This window comes from Homo sapiens, chromosome X (genome assembly GCF_000001405.40).
Source record: "Homo sapiens chromosome X, GRCh38.p14 Primary Assembly".
Lineage (NCBI taxonomy): Eukaryota > Metazoa > Chordata > Mammalia > Primates > Hominidae > Homo > Homo sapiens.
Window position 1 is genome coordinate 102,358,647 of NC_000023.11, and position 24,560 is coordinate 102,383,206.

At 46.3% G+C, this 24,560-nt stretch overlaps 1 protein-coding gene across 1 annotated transcript in view; it reads right to left on the reverse strand.

Annotated features, from left to right (window-relative positions):
• Window positions 1-1,748: 1,748 nt before the first annotated feature.
• Window positions 1,749-24,560, reverse strand: part of NXF2B (nuclear RNA export factor 2B) — a 79,614-nt gene continuing 56,802 nt past the window's right edge. The window contains exons 3-23 of the mRNA NM_001099686.3: window positions 21,348-21,443; window positions 11,317-11,506; window positions 10,940-11,090; window positions 10,553-10,636; window positions 10,337-10,441; window positions 10,141-10,221; window positions 9,885-9,954; window positions 9,640-9,728; window positions 9,412-9,519; window positions 9,123-9,232; window positions 7,408-7,444; window positions 6,959-7,027; window positions 6,817-6,872; window positions 6,578-6,685; window positions 6,399-6,457; window positions 6,145-6,260; window positions 6,007-6,049; window positions 5,334-5,406; window positions 4,617-4,799; window positions 2,146-2,206; window positions 1,749-1,999 (exon numbers count right to left, since the gene is read on the reverse strand). Coding sequence (NP_001093156.1) covers window positions 1,955-1,999; window positions 2,146-2,206; window positions 4,617-4,799; window positions 5,334-5,406; window positions 6,007-6,049; window positions 6,145-6,260; window positions 6,399-6,457; window positions 6,578-6,685; window positions 6,817-6,872; window positions 6,959-7,027; window positions 7,408-7,444; window positions 9,123-9,232; window positions 9,412-9,519; window positions 9,640-9,728; window positions 9,885-9,954; window positions 10,141-10,221; window positions 10,337-10,441; window positions 10,553-10,636; window positions 10,940-11,090; window positions 11,317-11,506; window positions 21,348-21,390 — 1,881 coding nt within the window. The 5' untranslated portion in view covers window positions 21,391-21,443 and the 3' untranslated portion in view covers window positions 1,749-1,954. The remainder of the gene's footprint in view (window positions 2,000-2,145; window positions 2,207-4,616; window positions 4,800-5,333; window positions 5,407-6,006; window positions 6,050-6,144; window positions 6,261-6,398; window positions 6,458-6,577; window positions 6,686-6,816; window positions 6,873-6,958; window positions 7,028-7,407; window positions 7,445-9,122; window positions 9,233-9,411; window positions 9,520-9,639; window positions 9,729-9,884; window positions 9,955-10,140; window positions 10,222-10,336; window positions 10,442-10,552; window positions 10,637-10,939; window positions 11,091-11,316; window positions 11,507-21,347; window positions 21,444-24,560) is intronic.

The following is a 24,560-nucleotide window of genomic DNA, read 5'->3' on the forward strand; positions in this document are numbered from 1 at the left end:
CCACACTCCACACAATTAGCACATAAATGAACAATGTCAAGAATAAAAGAAAGTCATCACTGCAGATCTACATAAAATTATAGCATGATGACATGCATAGCTTTATGTTAATGACTTTAACTAAAATGAAACGGATATTAAACTGCATCTGCATTATGATTTCTCTTATATAAAAAGTGTGCATATATATTTATGTGCACATATATATTTATTCAATTATTTATGACTGAATTGTTCTCAATGATTCTAAAAAATGGCTATGTCAATTTACATGCTCGGAAGCAATGTATGTGAGTACTCTTGTCTCCTCCCTCCAACTTCAGAAATAATCTTGGGAAGCATACACTTTGCCTCACCATTTAAACTTCCAAGATTGTCTCCTAATGGACCATTTGCAGATGATGATGATGATGATGATGTGTGTGTGTGTGTGTGTATAGAGGTAGAGCGCACGAGAGATGAGAGAGTGAGTTCAGGTGTCAGAGTTAGCATGTGCTGGGAGGATAGGACCACAGGAAATCGTGGGAATTGGCAGGAGGATGAGTGACTGGAAGACCAGGACGTCAGAGCTGGCTAGGGAAGGAGGTCCAGGCTGTGGAAGCCTGATGATGTAGAGAGAGGAAGCAGAGGGGCCATGTGATGGGTTCCATGGTTCCTGTCCACAAAGGAACCCTGGTAGCTCTGAGAGCCTGAGCTGAATAGACACTGTGGTTGATGGGTAACATGTGAGGCCATCTCTAGTCCCCACGATGAGGCTGAGAAGCACACATTGTAGTCTCTGCTCCCTGGCTGAGAGGACCAAGGCTTAGAGAGGTATAGGAGCTTGTCTTCGACTATTGAAGCACTACAGGGAAGAACAAGGTTGGCATATTCTTTTTGTAATGGCAACTATCCCCTTAGTTCCTAGTTTTATGAAATCCACACTCCAACATATGGATCCCTAATGTACATGTACATAAAGAACTGAAAAGTGGCAAGTGGTAGGAAGGCGGCAAGTGGTAGGAAGTAACGTATGCCAAACACGAAAGTGGAGGCATAATTTGTAAACTGGTGGTACTTCTCCTATGTCACCATTTATAGGACTGTGACTTGAAAACGTCACACTGCTATTATTTTAATTTCGAAAAGTATGCCAGCTGATTGTCTAACGTGCAAGCATCACAGGAGTGTGGACAATAAATTGTGCAAACGTTTCGTTCAACTCTTGCCTGCAATTAGGAACTGCTAAATGCCAGTTGTTGAGAACTGACCATAAGGTGAGATTCTGTGCTATCGCTGTTTGTTTAGAAGTGAAAATAAATGGCTGATCCCCTTCAAGAACATGGACATGGAGCACCCGGTGTCAGCTCTCTGAGGAGTGTGCCGGGTAGATGGGCTGAGTATCCCCCTCCCCCGCCACCCCCCGCCGCAGGTGCTACCCTGAGACGACTCCTCGAAAAGTGCACCTTTGGGAAAGGGAGGGGTCGGGACGGTGGATGGAAGCCCCTGGTGTGCCAAGGTAACATGCCTGCTTCTGTGGGCCTCCAGGTCGAGCATCTGACAGAGTCCAACTGTCTCTCAAGGCCAGTCTCTGGAAGGAGCGTGTGTCCTTTCTCATGAGGATTTACGGACAAAATTACCTATGAAGGCAAGCCAGATTCATGTATCTGCTAAGGCCAGCCAGGGATGAACAGGGATGCAGTGCTTTCAGTCCTGGTCCCGCTGGCTCACGGCTGGGGCAGGGGAAGAGCAATCCAGGGCACACAATGTACAACGTGTAACGTCACTCTTTATTATGAAAATAAAATGGTGATCATGAGTGGGGCGAATACACAGAGCAACTGGCTCTTTGGGTGGTTATGTCACGTGGCCTGCAAGTTAACGTTGGCTTCCTGGTCAGCCAGGCCTTAGGCTGGTGAAAAGAGGAAACAAAGAGGATGTGAACGAAGACAAAGAAGACATCGGAGGGCTCCTTTTAGGAGATTTGCTTGAAGGCCTCCGCGGGGATCTTGCCCTCGGTCTAGAGAAAGTAAAGAAAAGGAGTTGGGATGTTAGTAGAGCCAGGTGCACTGGGTTCCATCCCCACACTACCTGGCCTCCATCTTCTTGGCCCTCCTGACGACCCAGAGACAGCTGTCTTTTACCCACTTGATTCCCAGACCTCACCTGGAGCATAGTGAAGGCCTGGCCAGCTCTAGTGTAGTTCCACTCATTGTCCTGAAGGCACCTGGGGTGGGAGAAGAACAGGTGCTCTCCATTACTAGCCCAGGACAGACACGCTGACTATGCAATGCCACCCTTAATCTATGCTACCTTTTTGCTGGGTCACATGTACCAATATGAGCACTATTGTAACAATGAAAAAAGGCCTGGGGAAAACCAAAACGCCCATCCCTGACATTAATGCCCACTAGAATTCAAATCAGAAACATAGCGGTATTCAAATGAACAAGGGAGCTTAATACATATTGATAAAGAAAGATGTTCAAGAAATAACAAGTGGAAATTCAATAATACGTTTCTTTTCTATTGAGATATAATGCACATACTGTAGCAGTCACCATTTTAAGGTGTACAATTCAGTGCTTTTAAGTCTATTCACAAGATTGTGCAACCATCACACCTATCTAATTCCAAACTGTTTTTATCACCTCAAAAAGAAACTCCTTAACTGTTAGAGATCACTCCCTGTTCTCCCTCTTCCCCAGATCTTGGCAACCACTACTCTGCTTTCGGTCTCTACGGATCTGGCTATTCTGAACACTTCGTATGAATGGAATCATATAATTATGTGGCTTTTTGTGACTGGGTGCTCCCACTTAGCACATAATGTTTTCAGGGTTCATCCACGTCATAGCATATATCACAACTACATCCTTTTTTGTGGATGAATAATATTCTAATAATATTCCACCGTATGGATGTACCACATTATCCATTCATCAGCTGAAGGTCAATCCATGTGTTTCCATTTTTTGGCTATTTGGAATAATGCCACTACGGAAATTCATGTGCAAGTTGTTGAATGGGCATATATTTTCATTTCTTTTGGTATACACTTAGGAGTGGGATTACTGGATCATGTGGTAACTCCATGTTTAAGATTTTGAGGAACTGCCAAAATCTTTTTGCCAGCAACTGCTCCACTTTATGTTCCCAGTAGTAATACATGAGATTTCCAATTTCTCTGCATTCTCACCGACATTTGTCATGTTTCCTTTTATGGACTAAAGCTAGCGTAGTGGGTATGAAGTGGTAACTCACTGTGGTTTCGATATGCGTTTCCCTAATGACTAACGATGTTGAGAAGATTTTCACGTGCTTCTTGGTCATTTGTATATCTCCTTTGGAGAAACATCTATTCAAATCATTTCCCCATTTTTTAATTCGGTGGCTTGTCTGTTTGTTGTTGAGTTGTAAGGGTTCTTCTTGTCGGCGATGTGATTTGCAAATATTTTCCCTTGTTCCCACCAGTCGGTTTTCCGCTTTCTTGATAGTGTCTGCTGATGCACAAAAGCTTTTAATTTAGATGAAGTCCAATTTACCTATTTTTTCTTTGGTTGCTTGTGCTTTTGGTTTCATATGTAAGAAATGGTTGCCTAATTCAAGGTAATGAAGATGTACACTTACAGTGTTTTACAGTTCTGGCTCTTATTTTAGGTCATTGATCCATTTTCTGCCAGTGTTTGCACGTGATGTGAGTTAGGGGTCAAAATTAATTGTTTTGCAAGTGGATATCCACTTCTCCCAGCACCATTTGTTAAGAAGACTATTTTTTTTCTCCATTGGATTTTTTCAGCACCCTGAATGATAATCAACTGGACATAAATACGTGAGATTATCTGTGGACTCTCAATTATATTCCATTGATTCCCACGTCTGTTCCTATGTCGGTACCATACAGTCTTGATTAATGTAGTTTTGTAGCAAGTTCTGAAATCGGGAAGTGTGAGTCTTCTAACGTTGTTCTTCTCTTTCAAGATGGTTTTGGCTGTTTGGGGTCCACTGCATTTCCACATGAATTTTGGGATTACCTTGTCAATTTCTGCAAAGAAGTCAGTTGGGATTCTGTCAGGGACTGCAATGAATCTGTAGATTGTTCTGGGTGGTACTGCCATCGTAATGATATTAAGTCTTCCAATCTATGAACGTGGGATGCCTTTCCACGTATTTAGGTCTTCTTTAATTTTTTTCAGCAATGTTTTGCAGATTTCAGAGTACAAGATTTGCGCTTCTTCTCTTAAATTTGTTCCTACATACTTTCTTCTTTTCGATGCTACTGTAGATGGACTTATTTTCTTAATTTCATTTTTTTGGATTGTCCATTGCAACTACATAGAAGTACAAATGATTTTTGTATATTGTATCTTTCAACCTTGCTGACCTGGTTTATCAGTAGTTTATTGTGGTTGATTCTTTCAGATTTTACAAATGGAAGGTAATGTCATTTGGGCATTATGCCATTTAAAAAAATATTTACATATACCAGTATAAAAGTATGATACCTTTTTCATGGACCCACTTTTTTTGGAAGCAAAATACCCAGATAGTTATTTTTCCAAATTGCATGTGAGTTTCCATTACTCATTCCTCTGATGTCCCAACAGCCCCCATCCCCATGTACTCCCAGCACTCACTTCTGAGACCACTCCAGTTTCATCCCAGACTGGGCAGAGAAAGCCTGCACCATTTCCTGCTGCTCCTGGGAGAGGGAGGGCTCAGAGCTGGAGGAGAGTGTGGACACTGGGATGGAGAAGGCACTCTGAGTCTCTTGGGGGCTGGCATCCCTCACAAACAGCTCGTCATTCACGATGCACAGACTGGAGGAAAGAAAAATGCACCCTCAAACTGGACAAGTAGATAACTCCGCACCCCCAACAACAGGATCCTTCTTAACCACTGCCACTCAACAACCAAATTCCTTCCATATCCCTAACTGTGCCTGCCTCCCAGATTTTTTGGCTGGTACCCTCTAACCCTCCCACAGAGTCCACCTTTGGAGGGACTGTCTACCAGCTTCACTAGATTTTTAGATCCAACCCCAACGCATTTACCCTGTACAACAGCCCAAGGAAGTGGATAGTCTTATTCCAATTTTCAGAAAAAGGCACTGAATCACAGAGTGGTCGAATAAGTTGATCAAGGTCACACAGTTTGTGAGTGTTGGAGTGAGGAACAGAATCTGTATTCTGACTCCAGGGCCCACACTCTTAAACACTAGGCTAGACTGCTCCTTGGATCTTCCTGTCGGCCTTCCACAATATTGAGAACACCCGGAGGACTGCACCCACCACATTTCCACAACACTGGCCCCAAGCTTGGATGGGTGCTCCCACCCACAACACAGCACTAACCTGGAACTGCTGCCAGGGGTAGCAATGAAGGTCCGGGTGAAGGCGAGAACAGAACCCTGAGACTGTCCTTCCACTTCAAAGACAACAAACACCACCACCTTAGAGTTGCACAGGCTTTAACATGCTCACACGGTGATCCCCAGTCAGAGTATTGCTTGACACTCACACAGAAGGGGGGGAGGGGGCAGACCAGGACAATTGTTCACTTGGAGTCAGGCGGATGTGGCAGGAATGGGGAGGGCAGCAACAGGAACAATCCGCTCCCAGTGACAGGGCCCCTATCATGTGTGGGGCCCTGGGAAAACCACAAGTTCACTTAATTCCTATTTCACAGTAGCCCAAGAGATAGATTATTAGCCCCATTTTGCAAATGAGGAAACTGAAGGGTTAAGTAACCAGCACAAGTTCACAGAGTAAGGACCTGGGATGAGAGCTGTCAAACTCCACAGTCTGTGTCCTTAACGCACGCCTGAGCTGTGCAGGGCAGACAGGCATGGACCTAGGTCAGATCAGGGTGGTTTGAAGGCAGAGTGGGGGTGGGAAAACACGGAAGAAAGAAGAGGAAGGAAAGGAAAGGAACGAAAGCAGGGAAGCTGGGGGAGTTCTGAGAGGGAGCCCAGCCAGGGGGAGGGAGCAGTGGGGGATCTGGGGAGGGGACTATACAGACACTCACCTTCCTTGAAAACCCCATTGACAGAAAAGCAGAGCATCCTTTCCTGAAAAGGAAGCGCTCAGGTGCTCAGGATCCTCCTTAACCTCCTACCCACCTCTGGCTCTCTGGGCCTGCCCAAGGGAGGAAGCAGGTGCTCACCGTCTGGCACCACACGTCCACCAGGATGGAGCTGAGGTCATGCTGAGTTTTGGGCAACGCACTGAGGGAGTCCACAATGTCACGTTTTGTGCGCCTCAGCAGTTCCCCCTTCAGGTCTGTAGAGGAGAGGAGAAGCAAGGAATGGCAGGGTGGGCGGGGCAGGGCGGGGGGCTACCACATCCTGGTCCTTGGCCCCTGTGATTGTTCCCATCACACCCCCTTACCTTGCCCACTCTTCCCCATCACACACTTACAGGGGTCCTTGAGTGTTTTCATATTCCTGCTATCCTCAAAGTACTTGCACAAGCTGCTCCTAGGAGAAAAAGAGGAGCAGGAGTGGGTGGTCCGGCCAGTGTGGGCATTTCCAGGAGTTGGCCTGTGTCTGCTGGGGAGACACACAGCCCCAGAGCAGAGTCTGAGCCGTGATACTCACGGGGCTGAGTCCTTGGGGTCGAAGGGAATAGCCAAGGAGAAGCAGGCCTCATCGTGGTAAGCACCGAGGAGACCCTGTCGATCTCCAGAGTCATAGATCGAGTAATACCTGTGGGGAAGCAGTGAGGATAGGCTATCTCTGTGGCCTGGGCCCCAGATGAGACTTGAAAACTCCCAGGCTGCACGGGTGGCCCAGCCTGTCTCAGCCCTCCCCTTCCTCATGGTCCCAGGGATACTCACTGCTGCAGGAATTGCAGGACTAAATGCTTTAGGGTCTCAGATCCAGTAAAGTTTTCCTGAAATCAAAAGACAATTTGGATCTATGCGGTGGACAAAGCCTCCCTTACAGCAACCCAAATCTTGCTTGGTCCTTCTTCCTCACCTTGCAGGGTTTCATTGTCTCAGAGCTGTCAATGTCAACAATCACTGGTGCGGATAACTCTCGGCCGTCCTGGAGAAGGAAAGAGGAAGTCAGCAGTGGAGACCAAGGAGATGGAGCTGGATGATCGATAAGATGAACATGCCCAGGGAGACAAGCATCAGAGGCTAGGTGGGAAATGGCCCTGGAAATTCCAGTGGGTGGCTTTCTCATGGGGTGCTGGACATCTCTACTATCACATGCAAATGTGTGTGTGTGGGGGGGGTGGCGGCGGGGGGACACATTTTCCAGGGAGAATATTCTTGTCTTTTTCAGGAATCCATGCCTGTAAAATGGATGAGGGTCTGATACAAGCATGTAATCTAGGCAAGACCCAAAGGACTTGAGGGCAGGCGTGGAGGTCCTTTTCTTGAGTAAGAGGAGACAATGATGACGGTATTATACATACTTACCAGGCGTAACAACTTGGGGAAACAATCCCGGATGGCACTGTCCAAAACCAAAAATTGAATGAAGTGACTGACAGTTCAGGGTTGCACAGTCTCTCTCCCACTCCCTCTCACACTCCTCCCTCTCCTTCCTCCTGGTTAGCTTCCATCTAGACTGTCCTGACTCCCTTTTCTCCAGTGCTACAAGAAGCAGCACTGGGAGCCCAGGCTCCAGGGCTTTCTTCCTCTCCCTCCCTCCCCTTTGCCCAAGTCACCATGGAAGGCTCTGCAGGGAGCAGGAAATGGGGTGGGAGCCCAGGGCTCTGCCACCTCACTGGCTGTCCATCAACCTGCCTGACCAGGCCCTGGCCAAGACCAGGTCAGCCCTTAGGGATGGCCCAGGATGCTGGGACACGGAGGTGAGTGAGGCCGGACTCAGGAGGCAGGAAGCGGAAGGCAGGGGGGACAACAACAGAAACGGGGTGAAGGTAGGGGAGGGACGGATGGGTGAGACATAGGAGAGGAGAGACAAGGGAGAAACAGGATGCAATGCAAAGGGAAGGGAAAGACTCTCTACTGCGGAGGTGGAGTTCAGGGAGGAGAAGAGGAGAAAAGGGCTCCCCTGCTGCAGCCCTTTCCCTCACTGCTCCCTGGCTGGCCCTGGGGACCGAGGCAGGAAAGGAAAACATGCGCCTGTTGGGCTGGGGCCCACTGGATGCAGCTGGAGCCTTCCTCACCTGTGTGAGCTCAGTCTGAGCTGGGCATGGGAAACAGAGCAGCCACGGGGACAGGAGACCTTCTCCCGGGAGGAGTGAAGAGTCAGGCCCCAGCTCAGCATGGGGTTCAGAGTCTGGGGACCCCCTCTCCAGACCACTGCATTCTCTTCTGATGGTCCCTGACTCCTGTGCCCCTCTGTGCTGACGCCTTGACCGAGGAATGCTACCCATCTCGGGCTACCCAGGGCTCCTCTGAGGGCCCAGGCAGGACGATGTGAGGTGGAGAAGGAGGGAAGGTGGGGCAGTGCCCTGAGAGGCCTGTCCTTCTGTCTTCTCAACCTCCTCTGCCCTCTGCCTTCCACTCCTGCCTCAGGAACGTGGCCCGCTTCTGGCCCCTTGACGTAGGAAACCCAGGTTTCTCCCCAAGGAGGGCCCAGCTCCTGGCATTGGGCCAGAGGAAGAGATGGCATGACAGCAGCCACCCGGGGCCCCAGCCCTCAGTATGGGGCAGGGAAGCCCCCATGCCAGCCCAGGACAGGTGGGGGGACCTTTTTGGAGCAAGAGAAGGAGAACCCCTCTTGGGACAGGGGAGGGAAGCCCCATCGCAGCATGGAGGCAGGAAGGCCTGTCTCAGCATGAAGCCCCGGACTAAAGGACTCTTCTCGGTCCAGGGCACCAGCATCTGAATACTGCTGGTCCTGGGGAGGTGGGGGAGCCCCACTTCCTGGAGCACACTCACAGAGGGCACACTGGAGGAGGCTTGGTGGAGACAGGCGGGAAACACACCCCAGAGCAGGTGAAAAGGGGACCATGTCAGAGGAAGGAAAGGAGACCTCTAAGCACAGATGAGTGAGTGACAGAGAGAGAGGAGAGAGAGAGAGAGAGAGAGAGAGTAGGAAGGGAGGTCTGTGGTCCTCCCAGAGGACCAAGGCTGCTTCTTCCTGCAGAAGGGCACCTTCAGACACAGCTCAGTCACCCAGGGAGCAAAGGTGCCCAGGAAGGGTGACCGGGGTTGCCACTGACCTTACATAGGCGGACTGGTCCGAGAAGGTGCTGCACAACGGGTTCCCTTCTAGCCATAGCTCTTCGAGCTTCAGCCCTTTCACCTTGCCCAACTCCCACGCCGACTCCAGCTAAGAAAGATGGGGAGGAAACTGGAGAAGGAGGGCCAGGGAAAGAGAGACACCCAGGACCCTGGGCCCTGAATTCCCCCGGCCCTCATAGTCACCCACAGGTGCCACTGCCTGGCTGTTGCCATTATCCTGATGTGTCCTGCCCTCCACCCAAAGTTGATCTGGCTCCCCCTTCTCACCTTATTTTTGGAGAGATTCAGGGTCTTGACTTTGGGAGCCTTCTCTGTAATGTCAGAAAGGCCATCCAGCTGGTACAGCTTGTTGTTGCACAAGTTCAAAGACAACAGCTTTGGGTCAAGAAGAGTTAGAGTGGCGGCTACTATCTTGGGCCTCAGAGACAAATCTGCCCTCCACCTTATCCCTTCCACCCCTCTAACTAAATACCAGCACTGAGCCTAAGGCTTCACCTCAGGGAAATTTCTTTCAATGATCTTCAGGGTGGCAGCCATGCAGTTTCTTCGATTCAGGATTATATCAATGTCACGGCCCATCAAGTCTTGAAGAAGCCAAGAGAAGGGAATCGGAAGGCTGGGAGGGCCCTGGCTGGACCAGAGCCAGCCCCAACCCCTCTGTAAATTGCCATTCCTAAGTCTCCCTCCCAGGCAGACCTCTCTGCCCCCGCTTGTCTTAGAATTGCTGCTGTCAGCCTTACCTGGGTCAAAGCGGAGATTCTGGAGATCAAGAGCTTGCTGGGAGACATTGTACCGTTTGTTCATGGTCAGCTGCAGAGATAGAGATGAAGACAGAGGCTCTGGGGCTCTGGTGATGGTGGTGGTGGTGGTGGTGATGGTGGTGGTGGTGGTGGTGGTGGTGGTGGTGGTGGTGGTGGTGACAGGGAAAGAGGGGGCCAGGGGAAGAAGAGGTGGGTCCAGGAAGCAGGCATACAATGATCCTTGAGTCTGTATTACCTTTAGCATCTCCATTTGGCCTGGCTTCAACTTATTCTTCACAGAGTAGGGCGCAGTAGAATGATTGACAAATATACATATCTGCAGGAAGGCAGGGTGGTAAGTACCAGGACCTCTAATCCCAAAGAGGATGACCAGCCCCCTGGCCTGTCCTCCTGCCCAGAGACTAAGTACAGGGCATGCCCTCGGCACACACCTTTTGGTTCTCATCATCATAAATCTTATAACTGACATCCTTCAATGCGGAGGCAGCGCTAGCATCCTGGACAAAGAAGCATGCCCGATTTCGGACGTAGTGGAACTACAGGGAGTGAAGGCAAGAGCAACAGCGTCAGAGGCCAATGGCCCCTGCTGAGCCAGGCCTCTCCCCGTCCCCCATGCCCACTCATCTGGCTTCACCATCCTCTCTTACATCAACCGGAGTGAAGCGGTCACTGCAATGGCTCTGGATTGAATTCATTAGCCATGCCTTGTCATACTTTATCCCGTAAGGAATCTAAGGGTAAAAAGAAGAAATAGGAGGGAAGGGAGAGACAACGTGGAACTAAGGATGGAGAACAGAACCAACCAGCTGGGTTTTTTTTTTCTTTCTTTCCAACCTTCTACTTAGCTTAGATTTCTAAAGAAAGGACCGCTGACATGATTTCTTATTTTTGTGCCAAATATAGATGCCCTAAACTCCCTTTCCCCCCATTCCGAAGCTCTCCTCCAAATAATCAACTTAGGGTGTTTTAAGTGGTCTTCCTTCTATCAGGTTCCAGAATAGTCCACCTAATGCAGACCCCACCAAGATACTCACTGTGACCTTAAACCAGTTCCTTGTGTATCCATCCTGTGTGTTCTGACTCATTTTTCTCTCCGGAGGTTTTCTATTTCTCCACGTGGTAATACGGATTTCGTCTTCACTATGCCATTTCATTCTTCTTTCGCATCGGATGCTATAAGGAGTGCTGTGGGGAAGAGGAGAGAAGGCGGGTATCCATTAAATCTAAGAAAGTCTCCTATACATGCTCCACTCACTGACGCCAGGGCTACAATTAGGACTGCTCAGCCACTATTCCACTTCCAGCATTCGTCAGTTCTCTAATGAGAGAAGAAAAGGAAGACCACAGAGAATGAAAGGGTTGCACAGTCCCGGGGGCTGCTACGTGCAAACCAGGCTGCCTGGTCACTTACTGTCTTAGTTGTTGGTCCTTGTGGACATCCCTCATCTCCACGCTTCCATCATTCTCCTGGCAGTGTGAAGGCGGGCGCTCATACCCACCATGTTCATAATGACAGCTCCTCTTGTCAAAATTATCCCGGAAAGAACTCCCACCTTTCTTTCTTCCTTGAAAAGTGCTACCATGGTCATGGCATTCTGCAACTGAGAACAAAAAGACAAGTTTGAGACACATCAATGGTCCACTTACCACGTACCACGTCGTGAGCTAACTCCATGGTAGGGCTAGCAAAGTGCCAACCCGCCACATAAGCCCCAGAAAACAAACTCCTCTGCCTGTCCAGATACAAGAGCCTTATCTCACAGGTGGCACAATCAGGGTAGGAATCTTGGGAGAGGAAGCAACTGTGTTGAACCTCCTGAGAAATGGAGCAGGAATTATAAAGAACAGAGGTGCGCGTGTCCATGGGTTAGACTAGACACCAGCCACACACCTGGAAGGGGTCCTAATCTTGCCTTCTCTCAGGCTTCTCTAATCTAACAACCACACCAACACCTGGGAGACAAGCTCTCTCGCACCTCCCAAATCCAATCCCCAAATGCATTCTGTGAACAATCAGCAAGCTATACCTCTTTGCCAGTGCAGTACGAGCTTTAATGACAGGTGGGTCCGATGTAACAGCTTCCCAAGCTGCCCTCCTGCCTCCAGCCTTGCCCTCAAAAATACTCAGTTTGAAATACCCAGAGCAAGCTTTCTTTTTGCCCAGCCCGAAATGCTTTCAGCCCAAGAGACAACTCTTCCTAAGCAAGTGACAGAATTACTGGAAAGAAAATCAGCAGATACTGAAAACCACTACAGTAACAGGATCTAAATGACATAAATAAAACACCGTACCCAACACACTGTACCCAACAACAAAAACAGAGCATGTATGTTTTTTCCCCCTCTACTGTCTTGCAGCATTCACGAAGGTAGACCATCTCCTGGACCATCAAACAGACCTCGACCAATTTCAAAATGTACACCTTGTCTCAGGGCACTCTTATGAATAAAATTTCGGTCACTGCTGACCTCTCTGCAATATACTGATTATGGCCAGGCCTCAGATGAACTTCTGTAGGGGGCATCATTGCTTTCACTGTGTGTGACCCGCTGTCAGGACAGTCCTGCTCCTCTCGATTGCTGGGACTTTCCCTGTGTGCCATTAGAAGTGAAATTAAATGTGGGCAGAGCATCTGACCTAGACATTCCTGATGCTTGGTCCCTACAACTTGGAAGTGGGGCTGGAGTGCTCTCTTTCTCTCACACTCTACATCCAACCGATCAGGATGGATGTATCTTCTCTTGGCTCTACCTTTAAAATATATCCAGAGTCTGGCCACTTCTCACCCCCTCCATTGCTACCTACCCTGGCCAGGTCACCAACATCTGTCTCCTGGATTATGCTGCCTTCCAAGTTGTCCTGCTTTTGCCCTTGACTCCCCTACCATCTATTTTCAACACAGGAGGCAGAGTGATTTTTTAAGGCATAAGTCAAATCTTGTCATTCCTTTACTCAAAATCCTTTAACCGCGGTTTGGAGCCCATCAGTATGTTAAAAAGTTATGAGTCCATAACAATACTCAACAACAGCAACAACAACAACAAAGACCCCTATTGGTGACATTTGGAGGATGTCCAGAAACCAACTCATTTTCATGAAAGTCCATAAATGAAAGGGAAAAAAATCAAAGATTAAAGTGAGGGTTAAGGGCACACGGTCAATATATGGAGCACAGGAAGAGTCAGAGTCATTTTTGAGAACACACATTACTTCAGAAATAACGTCACTGAGGGGAAGAAGGTGTAAAAGTGTAAGCTAGCCAACAGCTACAGCTACAGCCTCAGGCAAGGCCTTGTGTTGGAAGAGAGCACATGTGATAAAAAGCCACAGAGGGACCGGACAGAGAGAGATGCCGAAGACACAACACACACAGGCGTACATCCACTTGCTGAACTCTGGCATCTCAGCACAATCCCTGTCTCGCAGTTGTGCTGCCAGAATTACGGGCGATCTCAAGAGTATTATAAAGCAGCTAGTACTTCTCACCCAGACCGCCTGGGTTTCCCCTCAAGTCCCACCATGTACTGGCTGATCCCCCCACACAGACATAGTGGTGAGTAACCTTTATGACATCACGTGTGTTCCTACTGGTACTTCCTGTGTTAGTTTGGAATTCTGCCTACATCACTGCCATGCCACTGAGTGCATGGCATCAGCATCCCTGCTACGGCAGGGAAAGAACGGGATAAGAAGAAAACCAACCCTTGCCCAGTGGCAACCAACATCTGCTCAGTGTTGGGCAGACTCACTAGGTTTCTCTTGACCTCCTCACAGAAATCCCATGAGAATTTTATCCACAGTCCCTTTTCAGATCATGAATATTGGGTTCACAGATGTCGGGTACATTTCCCAGCCAGGTAAGTGGCAGAACAGGAATTATGTCCTCACGTATATTGGTCTGCCTCTATACCCTGAGTGCTCCTCCAGAGACTGCACTGGTTCTCCCTTAAATGGCAAGCTTTCAGGTCTCATCGACAGATTTTTTTGTAAGCAGGCCGGGATGATGTTTTGTGCTAGTCACTCCTGTTGGGGTGGGAACCAGGTGTCTTGGATAAGGTGGAGATCTCTGTCTTGGACCAGATGGGTGTAATCTGTTTGGGCCATGGGTTTTCAGATTAGGAGTCACTTTGGGCTGGTAGTGTCTGGCATAGAATAAGGGCCTAATTAATATTTGTTAAATGAATGCATTTGATGTAGGTTTGGGATCATCGACAAAACCACTTTTGAGAATACATCCATCTGAACCATTTCTACCGACCTCTATTTATATTTATTCCAGAGCTATTCGGGCTGCAGAACTATTTCATAACCTGACTGCAAAACTAGAACAAATTAATCTTTTCTTCTGCAACATTAATATTTTTTCATTAATGTATCCTTAGAAATAGAACTGAGTACCTCCCTGCAGACTGTGGCTAGAACTGCAGCTTTGAAGATCTCAGAGAAGGAGGCTTTTGCAAATAGTGCTGACAGAAATGAGGAGAGGCGTTCCCTGAATCCAGCAGATAGGGCTTTCTGGACATCTGGTCTCTGTAGGAAGAATGTTCTGGACCTACAGGCATGTTGTGTTCACTCAGCCTTGTGACAGACAGGAAGCATCATCCCTGTCTCAGAGAAAGGGAAGAATGTGTGGTCTGTGTGTCCGTGTTGCCCATGCGAGCAAGTATTAGTGTTTCGTATTACATGCTTCCACAATTAGGTTACAGATACATGTACTCCAAATCATGTTGGTAAACACATTGCCACACAACACTGGATCCCACTGCACATTTCTTTTCATGTGTTATGTATTATATATGGCCAAATTTTGTTTCTTGTTCAGAATATGCTTTTTAGTGCTTTTTTTCTTTTCTACCTCTCGGTGTTTTAATATTTGAACTGATAGTTTTAAAATAAGAAAGTAGGAGAGTTCCCTGTACACAAAAGTAATGGAACAATACCCACAGGTTGACCAGGGTTACAGAGTACCCCCAGCAGGGGTGGCCAAAAAACCCAGTGGAACACAGCCAGGGCTTCGAAGTGGGTTTAAGATTTTGAGTCCCTGCTCTACAGTTTCCCAGGAGAAGCACATGAGTACTTTTAAGCATAAAGTGATATTTTCGTAAGGATTTTCAATGATATTTACACCAATATACACTTCCACTAACCGTGTGTGAGTCTAATTTTCTGCAATATGCCTAACCATTCAGAAGTCATTCTTACACTTTGATCCAGACGTTTCACTTTTCGAATTTATTACATATATCACTCTCTGTCTAAATATATACATATAATTATACGGCTGTGCTTTACAGGTCCTTTGGGACAGAAGGATGACGGGACCAGAGAGTGGCTGATATTGTCAAAGGGAGAAGTAGAAATGACTGCCCTTGCAATGAAGTAGACATGGCAAGGAAGGGGCATGAGTACCTGACATACAGGGTGAAAAGGCCAAGGGATGGATGTGTGGGTCAGAAAGAAGAGGGTGAGTACAGAGAAGACAAAGAAACACACATTGAAAACGCCTCCAGGGAACTGAATTCATCCTGGCGATATGCTCCCCTCTGAAAACCCTCCTTCCTTCCTGTCCATGTACATCTTGTCTGTCCCTGTTACTTCACTTCAAGTTGAACACCAGAGAAACAGTTCCCACACAGTCCGAAAAAAGGAGAGATGGTATAGGGCAACACTGTGCAATGATGAGTCTCTTGGACAGAAGGCTGGAGTCGGGACATTGGTTCCAGAAACCACACCCATCATTGCCCAGCAGACTTTGAGTGGGCCCTGTCGTACTGCTCATTTCAGCCTTGACACAGAGTCGCACATTATTGGTTATGGGCCTAGGATTTGTGGTCAGATCCATCAGGATTTCAATCCTGGTGCTAAATTCTATGATCCAAGGCAACTAAGTGACCTCGCTGTGACTCAAGTTCTTTTTGCTTGTTTTCCCCCTAACTCAAAGATAGTAACAGTTTCTACCTCATGGGCTACTGTAAAAATTAAGTGAGTTAACACATGGAAACACGTGAAAAGCACCTGGAGAAATGCCCGTGACCTAACAAGCACTATAAATAAGTTGTCTATTACTATGTCGAGAACGTAGTACAACATCTGGCGTTTATTGAGGGAGAAATACGTGTTAGTTGCATTCGTTGTTATTAGTCCTCCTGGAAATGACAAGGAAAAGAGATGAGTGAGTGGCATCTGGTTGCCATGTCAGCTATTAATGTATCTTACAAAGCGGCAGTAGTAAAACAGGGCAGCCCCGGCTCCAGTGGGGAATCATCTGACATATGGGTTCAGGGAACCAAAACAGAAAGCTCAGAGCATGAAACAGGTTATGCGGAAGGATTCAGTAGGGAGCTTAAGTTCCCGTTTCCGATCTTTCAGGAAAAAAAAAAATGTATTATTATGCAAGAAATGTTTCAGGTTTAAGTGGCAGACTATAAGCAACAAGGTAGAATACTCGTCACGCCACGTGATACAAAGGGAAAGAAAAACAAAGTCAGGTTATAAAACTGTATATTACAGTATGATTCCTCAGAAGAAAATATTAATGAGAAGTTATGTTTTCATTTGTAAATATAAACACAAACAAGTCAGGGTAAAGGGACACGTGAGAATGTCAACCATGTGTAGAAGTAGGTGGCTGGAATGCAGAATGGTTATACTTTCACACCTACGCTTCATACTTGTATAAGAGGATGTTTATGGCCGGGTCAGGGTTTTGTCAAGTGCTTGGGGAGAAGCACTTTTCCTATCGACCCATATACAGCATAATGGAAACCGTTTATTACTGACAATCAAGTGTGAATATCTTCTCTCTGATTAATAAGCTAACCTCACTTTTGACGACTCATTCAACTTCTCCTGATCCCAGGTTCCTTACATGTAAAAATCAGAGATTAGGGCTAGCTACCACCTCAATCAAGATATAGAACATATAACACAACCCAAAAGGTTTCCAGTCGATCTCCTCTTCATCCCTTGGCTCCGTGCAAACATTGATATACTTTCCGTTACTATATATTCATCTTCCTGTTCTAGGATTTCACACAAATGGACTTGTGCATGCTGCACCCCTTTGGGTCTGGCTTCTTTAACTCGGCATAATGTTTCTGAGACCCATCCATGTTCTTGACTTTTCCTTGCTGAGTAAAAGCCCCTTGATGGATATACCATAATTTGTTCACCTTTGATGTTGTTTTAATGAAGTTTCAGGAGGAAGTGAAAGGAGATCCTTGCCTTCAAAAAGCCATCTTTCTTGGGCAGTCTTCTATTCTTTCGTAATAGACACAATTTCATCCTTTATCACTCCTTTGTCTCTCTGGGGAAATATTATCTTAATGTCTGTTTCAGCCTCTTCCATTCTTTCTGTTCCCTCAGTGCCAATTATTGGATTTGTTGAGTTTGTGCCATCCCTTCCTTGCTGATCCTGGGTTGTGGATGTCTTCTGCAGAGGAAGCTCCACTGCTGAATCAGCCCTGGGCTCACAGACACTTAGCTTTAATCCATACCTTGCTCTGGCCTTGCCGGCAGTTTAGCTTCAAGCCGGACACAACCTGTGGTGGCCCCGGCTTTACCACTGTGTTTTCCCATTTCCTTTCTCTTTGAAAAAGACAATCTTCTCGATGTCTTACATGGGAATCTTTATTTCATATTTTCCAGCGTAACTATGTATTTATTATTACTGTAATATTATCATTCTGAAACCACAATTATAAAATTTTAAAATTAAATATTGTGAAAGGCTTGCATTCTTATGATTTAAATTGTTCAAGCAGTTCTCAACCATGATTACACATTAGAGCCACTTGGGGACACTGAAACAATTCACTAGCACCAGGACACACCCAAAACAATCAAAGCAGAACCGTGGTTAGATCCAGGCAACCACATTTTTTAACTCTCCATGTGAATTGCAGTGTGCAACCAAGGTTGAAAACAACCGTGTTAAAGCCTCAGTTTTTGGCTTATGCTTGCCAGAGGATCCTAGCAATAGCTGCCTCCTCATTTTGCTGACTTCCCACTCAGCACTGTTTTGGGGACCCAGTGAGTCTATTAGCTTAGAGGTCAGCAACTTATTAGCTTAGAGGTCAGCAACTATGCCCTGTGGGCCAAATCTACCCCAGATCCCCATTTCCTTCAAGGTCTTTTGCTTGCAACCAATTTTGCTGCCAAGTACTCTGTTAATCAAGGTCCCAACTTGCCTATGCCAGAATTCACTCTAGCTCTTTTATACAAACAAGATATCTCTAATAAAATATATTACATAGCTTACAAAAACTCTGTGAGGGCCAGAAAAGCAGGCCTGGATGCTGCACAGCCAGGAGAAGTCCACCCACGTGATGGAACTGCTACAGCTGAAATACCACTGCTGCCTGCCCGTTAATTGACATGCATGACAGAGACTGAATTCTAGAAACTCTGCAATGGCTGCCGCATGAAAACTGGAGACCTCCCTCATCACAGGTAGTCCACCCCACATATGGCTCCCATGTTATTCAGTTCCACCTCTGAGTCTCATGTTGGCACATACGCTTGATGCGATAAATATCCCATTTGAGACCCTAACTGCAAGGGACTCTGGTAAATTGTATGTGTGTGAGAGTGTATTTGTGTGTGTGTGTGTGTGTGTGTGTGTGTGTGTGTGAGAGAGAGAGAGCGAGAGAGAGAGAGAAAGAGAGTGTGTGCGCACATGCGTGGGGTCATGTGCATGTGTGTTTCCTTTCATGTTCCAACTTTCTAGTCTCTACAGTACAGGAAAGCATATAAGAATGTTTAAGAGTGCTGGAATAGTTGCCAAGTAAGCAGATTCATCGTATATTTCACAAGACATGTTTTCTGTTGTAAATGGTATATTTACAATAATGATGGTATTTTCTTTGTTACAATGGTTTGTGTATGTTCGTCTTATAGCCAACAAACTTGTTAATCTCCATTATTATTTTTAATTTTCTGTAGCTTCTCTTGAGTTTCATATGAAGATAGTCACGTTGACAGCTTTTTCACTTTTATACACGTATTAATTTATGTATGTAGGCATGCATGTATCACAGCTTACCGCACTGCCTAGTATGACATATGGCTTACTGCACTAGACTCAGTACGACATTGAACAGAATTCGTCATACCAGTCATCTTTATCCCTTTTCTGATTGTAAGGAGAATACTTCTAATGTTTTACTATTAAGGGTGGTGTCTGATGGGGTCTATTGTTTTGATACCCATTGTCAGTTTAAAGAGATAGCTTTCTATATTACCGATCTGCTGAGAATTATTGGTATTGTTGTTGTTCAATCCCGGTTGGTTAATTTATTGCATACTTTTTTTTTTAACTGGATCTTTTGTGGTATTTGTCCTGTCCTCCTCCCTTTATTCAGCTAATGTGTTAGATTACATTATGGATCTCTTAAAATGTTAAACTCAGCTTGCATGCTTGGGATTAAACACAACCTCGTCATGCTGTATTATCTGCTTTACCCATTGTTGGGTTTAGTTTGCTATTAATTGATTTATATTATTTGCGTTTATGTAACTAATTCGGGTTGGCTAGTAATTTTGCCTTTGCATGTATTCCTTGTCAAGAATACATTGAATAAACCAAGGTTTTCTATTCCTTCAGTTTGGAAAGTTATATATATTTTTCCCCTGGAATTCATCTATTTAATCTAAATTTTCAAATTTTCACATCCTTTTCATAATGTGATCTTTTTCAATCTTTTCTGTCACTGTAAGTGTGACACTATCTTCATTCCAAAAGTGGCTGACCCGCACCACCTCGCTAATTTTCTCTGCCCGTGTGGCCAGAGATTTTATCATTATCCTGCGCTTCTGAAACACTGACATCTAGCAATTTTGTTCAACTCTCTCACATGGTGTTTTCACTTTCATCAAGGTAGGCTCTATTTTTTTATCATTTTTCCTCAACATAGCGGTAAGACATGGGGATTATTCCACATTAAGTAAATGATCAATGAAAAGTCCTTTCATCTACCACCTGGTTTTATTTTTATAATTGAATACAATGGATATTCAAATATCCAATACATTCCCTCATTTGGAAAAGACCTCTGGCTTATCAGTGCTGGTCTTTTTAACCAGTGCCATCGTGTCTATTCAATTAAACTATCAGATGATTAAGGAAGAGGGCATTGCATCATTGATGTAAAAGAATTTTTACTATAAGCTTCCTTTAAGAGAAGAGCAGGCAGCGTAGAAAGAAGCAGAAAGGACATCGACTTTGAAATCACGCCTGGGTGGATTCAAATCCTGATTCTGTCACTTACGGCCGATGTGATGTTAGGCAAGTACTTAATCCCTCCCAGCTTTGATTCCTTCATGCAGTAGTCAGTGCTGCCATTTACCAAGTGTTTACATTCTCCCCTGTACCAGGCACCTGGTAGGACTGCCCGACCCGACTGCCTTCCTTGGGGCAGGGCCGTGCATGTGACTAGCTCTGGCCAATGGGTTGTGAGTGACGAGTGACACGGGTTATTTCTGGGTCAGAACCTTTGGTTGTTGGTTTGAGACCCTCTACGGCTCTCTCCCACTCTGACGCAGTGAGTAACCCCTTTCTAGATGGTGGCTGCTCCATTAGTTTGGGTCTCTGAGTCATTCCAATAAGAATGGCTCAGAACCCAACATCCACCATCCCGTGAAGGATATGCACCTGGCATAAACATGCAGCAGGAGTGAGAAATAAGTCACTGAGGTTTGGGGGTTGCCTATAAGCACAGCGTTACACTCAGCCTCTCCTGACTCATATATCTCATCTGTCAATTAAGATAACACCCTCTCAGGACTTTCCTGAGGGTTAAATGCAGTAACTTGCATGACAGCCGAGGTTATCACAGTGCTTGACATATGACAGGGGCTCAAACTATGGCAGCTGTAATTATTAAGTAATAATAAAATGGTTCTGAAGAAGTGTGGTTTTTTATTGTGTAAAATGAGCGGTACTGCATCTGCTTGTCCTGACAGGTAAGTTGTATCTTGTTTTCAAGAGTGGGGGCACTTTATTTGCTGCCACAGGTAAGGCTTCCTAATGACTTGCATTTATGCACATATTGTCTGCCACCACCATGGTATCAGATGCATGCTTGGCGGTATCTCTGAAGAGTAAAAAAGTACAAAGATTCAAGCAGGAGAGACTGACTGATGACATGAGATAAAATGAATTAAAGAGCAACAATCAATGTCTTAATGAGCAGACTAGATTACAACTATTATAAACCCACATTCCATTGTTCTGAGTAAACAAAGGCACAAGGTTTTAAAGTGTTAGAAGATGTAGTCTGAACAGGGTTTCCCCAAATATTTTCTGAAGAACACTGGTACCTCAAATGCTCTGTGGAAAAAAATGTTCCATTCCCATACAAGTTGGGGAAAGTAGCCCCCCCTTTGAGACTCGTGTTGTTTATTAGCATATCATCTAAAAAAATCCTACAGTATTCGTTTACCTTCAGTTCTGTATGTCCCACACTTCTTTAGAGTAGAGCACATTTTGTTGTTGCTTTGTCCTGACACTACAGTCTCACAGAACGAACTTGGAAATGCTGAAATGAGAGAAAAATAGATTATTCAACCTACATGTAATATCAAATATCACAAGTGACAATATTCTCTAACCATCTGACAAGCAATATTTGAAACCCCGTAAGTTTAAGCACAATCTTGCTATTTGCTCAACTTCATTCACCCAATACCGCTTTCATGATGTACCAAATGTTATCACCCATGATTGTACCTTAAATCCATTCACTATACTTTTTTCCACAGGAAGAAAAGGAGAGAGTTTTCAGAAAGGAATCTAAGAAGCAATCATTAGAAAATCAGGGGTTGATGGGGGGAGAATCAGAAACAAAAGAGTGTGAAGCTATACTACTATAAGCTACTGAGAGATCCTAAGCGCACACACACACAAAAAAAATGTCACCCACTCCCAAATGTACTTTTTAAAGCCAATGGAGTTCAAATAAAGTATAACAAGTAAATTCTGAATCTTCACATCATGACGACTTGGACACTTTTATTGAAATATCAAATTCTCTTTTTAAAAAAATTCCCGATTCCCCTCTCTCCCTTTCGCCCACCCCCCTGAGCCCATGTTTAGAAGGTTTAGTAGAAAAATAAATCATGGAAACAAAGAGAATCTTTACATAATCAAATAAGAGACAGAAATTAAGATTGGGTCTGGAATCGTCTATACAAACTGGGATCTAGGCAGTCTCGAGTGTCCTTAATAACAACATGGTCTGAGGAGGGGCAGAGGACAGAATCACCTGGCACAGACGGTGAATCGGGCAGAGTGACAGGCAAGGGTAGGGCTTTTAGTGTGGGGGCGGGAAGGGGGGGGAATCCCATCAGGCTTCCACAGCCCTGCCCCTGAGAAACGACTTACGAGTTCATGAATCCCTGCCGCCCCACTACCAACCCTACCCCTATCCCCCAGCCCCACATTCTGCCCCAGTGCCTTCTCCTCCAACAACAGCTCCTGTGAGTCCAGGATCAAGGCGGATGGCAGACATAGATGCATGGGTGCGCACGCACACACACACACGCACGCACACACAGTTTCTCTGCCAGGTGTTCACAAGTTCGGCCACATTAGGGAAGTCCTCCGCTACCTCCACCCAAACCCCCCATACACCCCGACCCTCCCGCACCCCCCACCCTCCCCACCCCCCCACCCTCCCGCACCTCCCGCACCCCCCACCCTCCCGCACCCCCGGCACCCCCCACCCACCCCACCCCACCCCACCCCCTCAGAGCCTCTGCTATTTGGAGATTGCTCAGCCACGCCTTAAAGCCCAATTCTCAGTAAACTTCTAGTACCGGCTGGTTCCACTCGTACCAGACTTCCTTCCAGCGCGTCAGGATATGAAAGTTGCCGGAAGGCTTCAGATCTGAGCCGAAGTCCAATAAAACTTCCGCCTGAGTCAGGGTGTGGAGCCGGAAGCACCTCTCTGACAGGATTCGGAGCACTCAATCTTCACGTGAATGGGAGGGTGCGGAATCTCACGTGACCATAAGAGCCACATGTACAACAGCCATTGGTTAGCTGCGGTGCTCACAGGACCGCAAAGGCTTTGCCTGCCACGAGATGACAGGAGCCACTTGGCTGCCCACACACACATCTGCAGAGTTTGGCAGCTCACAATCTTCACGTGACAGAGAGGAATGAGCCTAACACTGTGGCCATGGGGAGGGGTGAGTGGGAGCAGTGGACATGACCATAGCATCCACATGACCCTAAACAGTAGGTCATCTATATGACTTCGAGGGCTGAGACTTCCACATGCTGGTAGCCAGTAATGGCCAGGTGAGGGAAGAATCCATGTGAGCAACAGGGTTCAGGAGTCCACCATACTGTAGTGACTGGAAGAGCTGGGCCCATCACATGACCATAGGAGCAACATGACAAGAGAGGCCACATGACCTCAAAGTTTTAGAGCCCTTGGTGCTGATATGACCAGTAGGGCCCTATCAGTAGGGCTCATAATTGTAGTGTTCACATGATGGTGGCATCCACGTGGCTTGCAGCCTTAGGATCCTGCAAGGCTCAAGTACCCAGGATAGGTGGGTGAGCTTGGGTCAACTTCCTGACAGTAGAATCCAACCACTGCAGAGTTCTCCTGATCTGCATGTTTCAGGAGACCGTTCTGTTCATGAGACCTGGAGCTCTGAGATTGCCCATATTACTGAGATGGTGGTACCTCCAGATAACCTCCCACAGCACACAGACTTGAGCTTTTGCTACCCTCACCTCACTTTTTTTTTTTTTTTTTTTTTTTGAGACGGAGTTTTGCTCTTGTTGCCCAGGCTGGAGTGCAATGGCATGATTTCAGCTCACTGCAACCTCCGCCTCCCGGTTCAAGCGATTCTCCTGCCTCAGCCTCCCAAGTAGCTGGGATTGCAGGCGCCCACCACCACGCCCAGCTAATTTTTGTATTTTTTTAGTAGAGACGGGGTTTCACCATGTTGGCCAGGCTGGTCTCGAACTCCTGACCTCAGGTGATCTGCCCGCCTTGGCCTCCCAAAGTGCTGGGATTACAGCATGAGCCACCGCTCCCGGCCCCCCATCCCTCTTTAATATATTTTATGTGTTTCATTTCTAACAACACGTGAAATTTAATACTTCACAATGAAGAAGGTCCTCACTAAAACCATAATCATAGACACTACTGCAAGAGCCTAAGCAGTCCGTACAGGTAAGCACTGTTTACTTAATTTCATACAGGGCCAAAGGAAATTAGGGCAAACCTAATGAATTTTAGTTGTTCATTTGAAAAAGAAAATGTGTATAGTGATTAGTATGTGCCACACACTCCAAAAGGTTACCGCATTTAAGAGTGCTAACTCTATGGAGTAGGTAGTATAACAGAATTTTACAGACGAGGAAACTGAAGCACAGAGGCGTTAAATCACTTGCCTAAGAGGTCACAGACATTGCAGGTGGCAAACCAGCTGTCTCCCCCAGGCAGTATGGTGCTAGACTGTTCTGACCACCCCCGGGTTTTCCAAAGGAAATTAATTTTAGTTCAGCCTTATTAATTCACACAAACTGGAAGCCAGACCCAGTTACTGAAGAGTTGAGGTCTTGGATGTTCTCTTTGAAATACCAACTAAGAAATTTCAAGTACTGTCAGTAATTAGCACCAGTCAATGCTGAA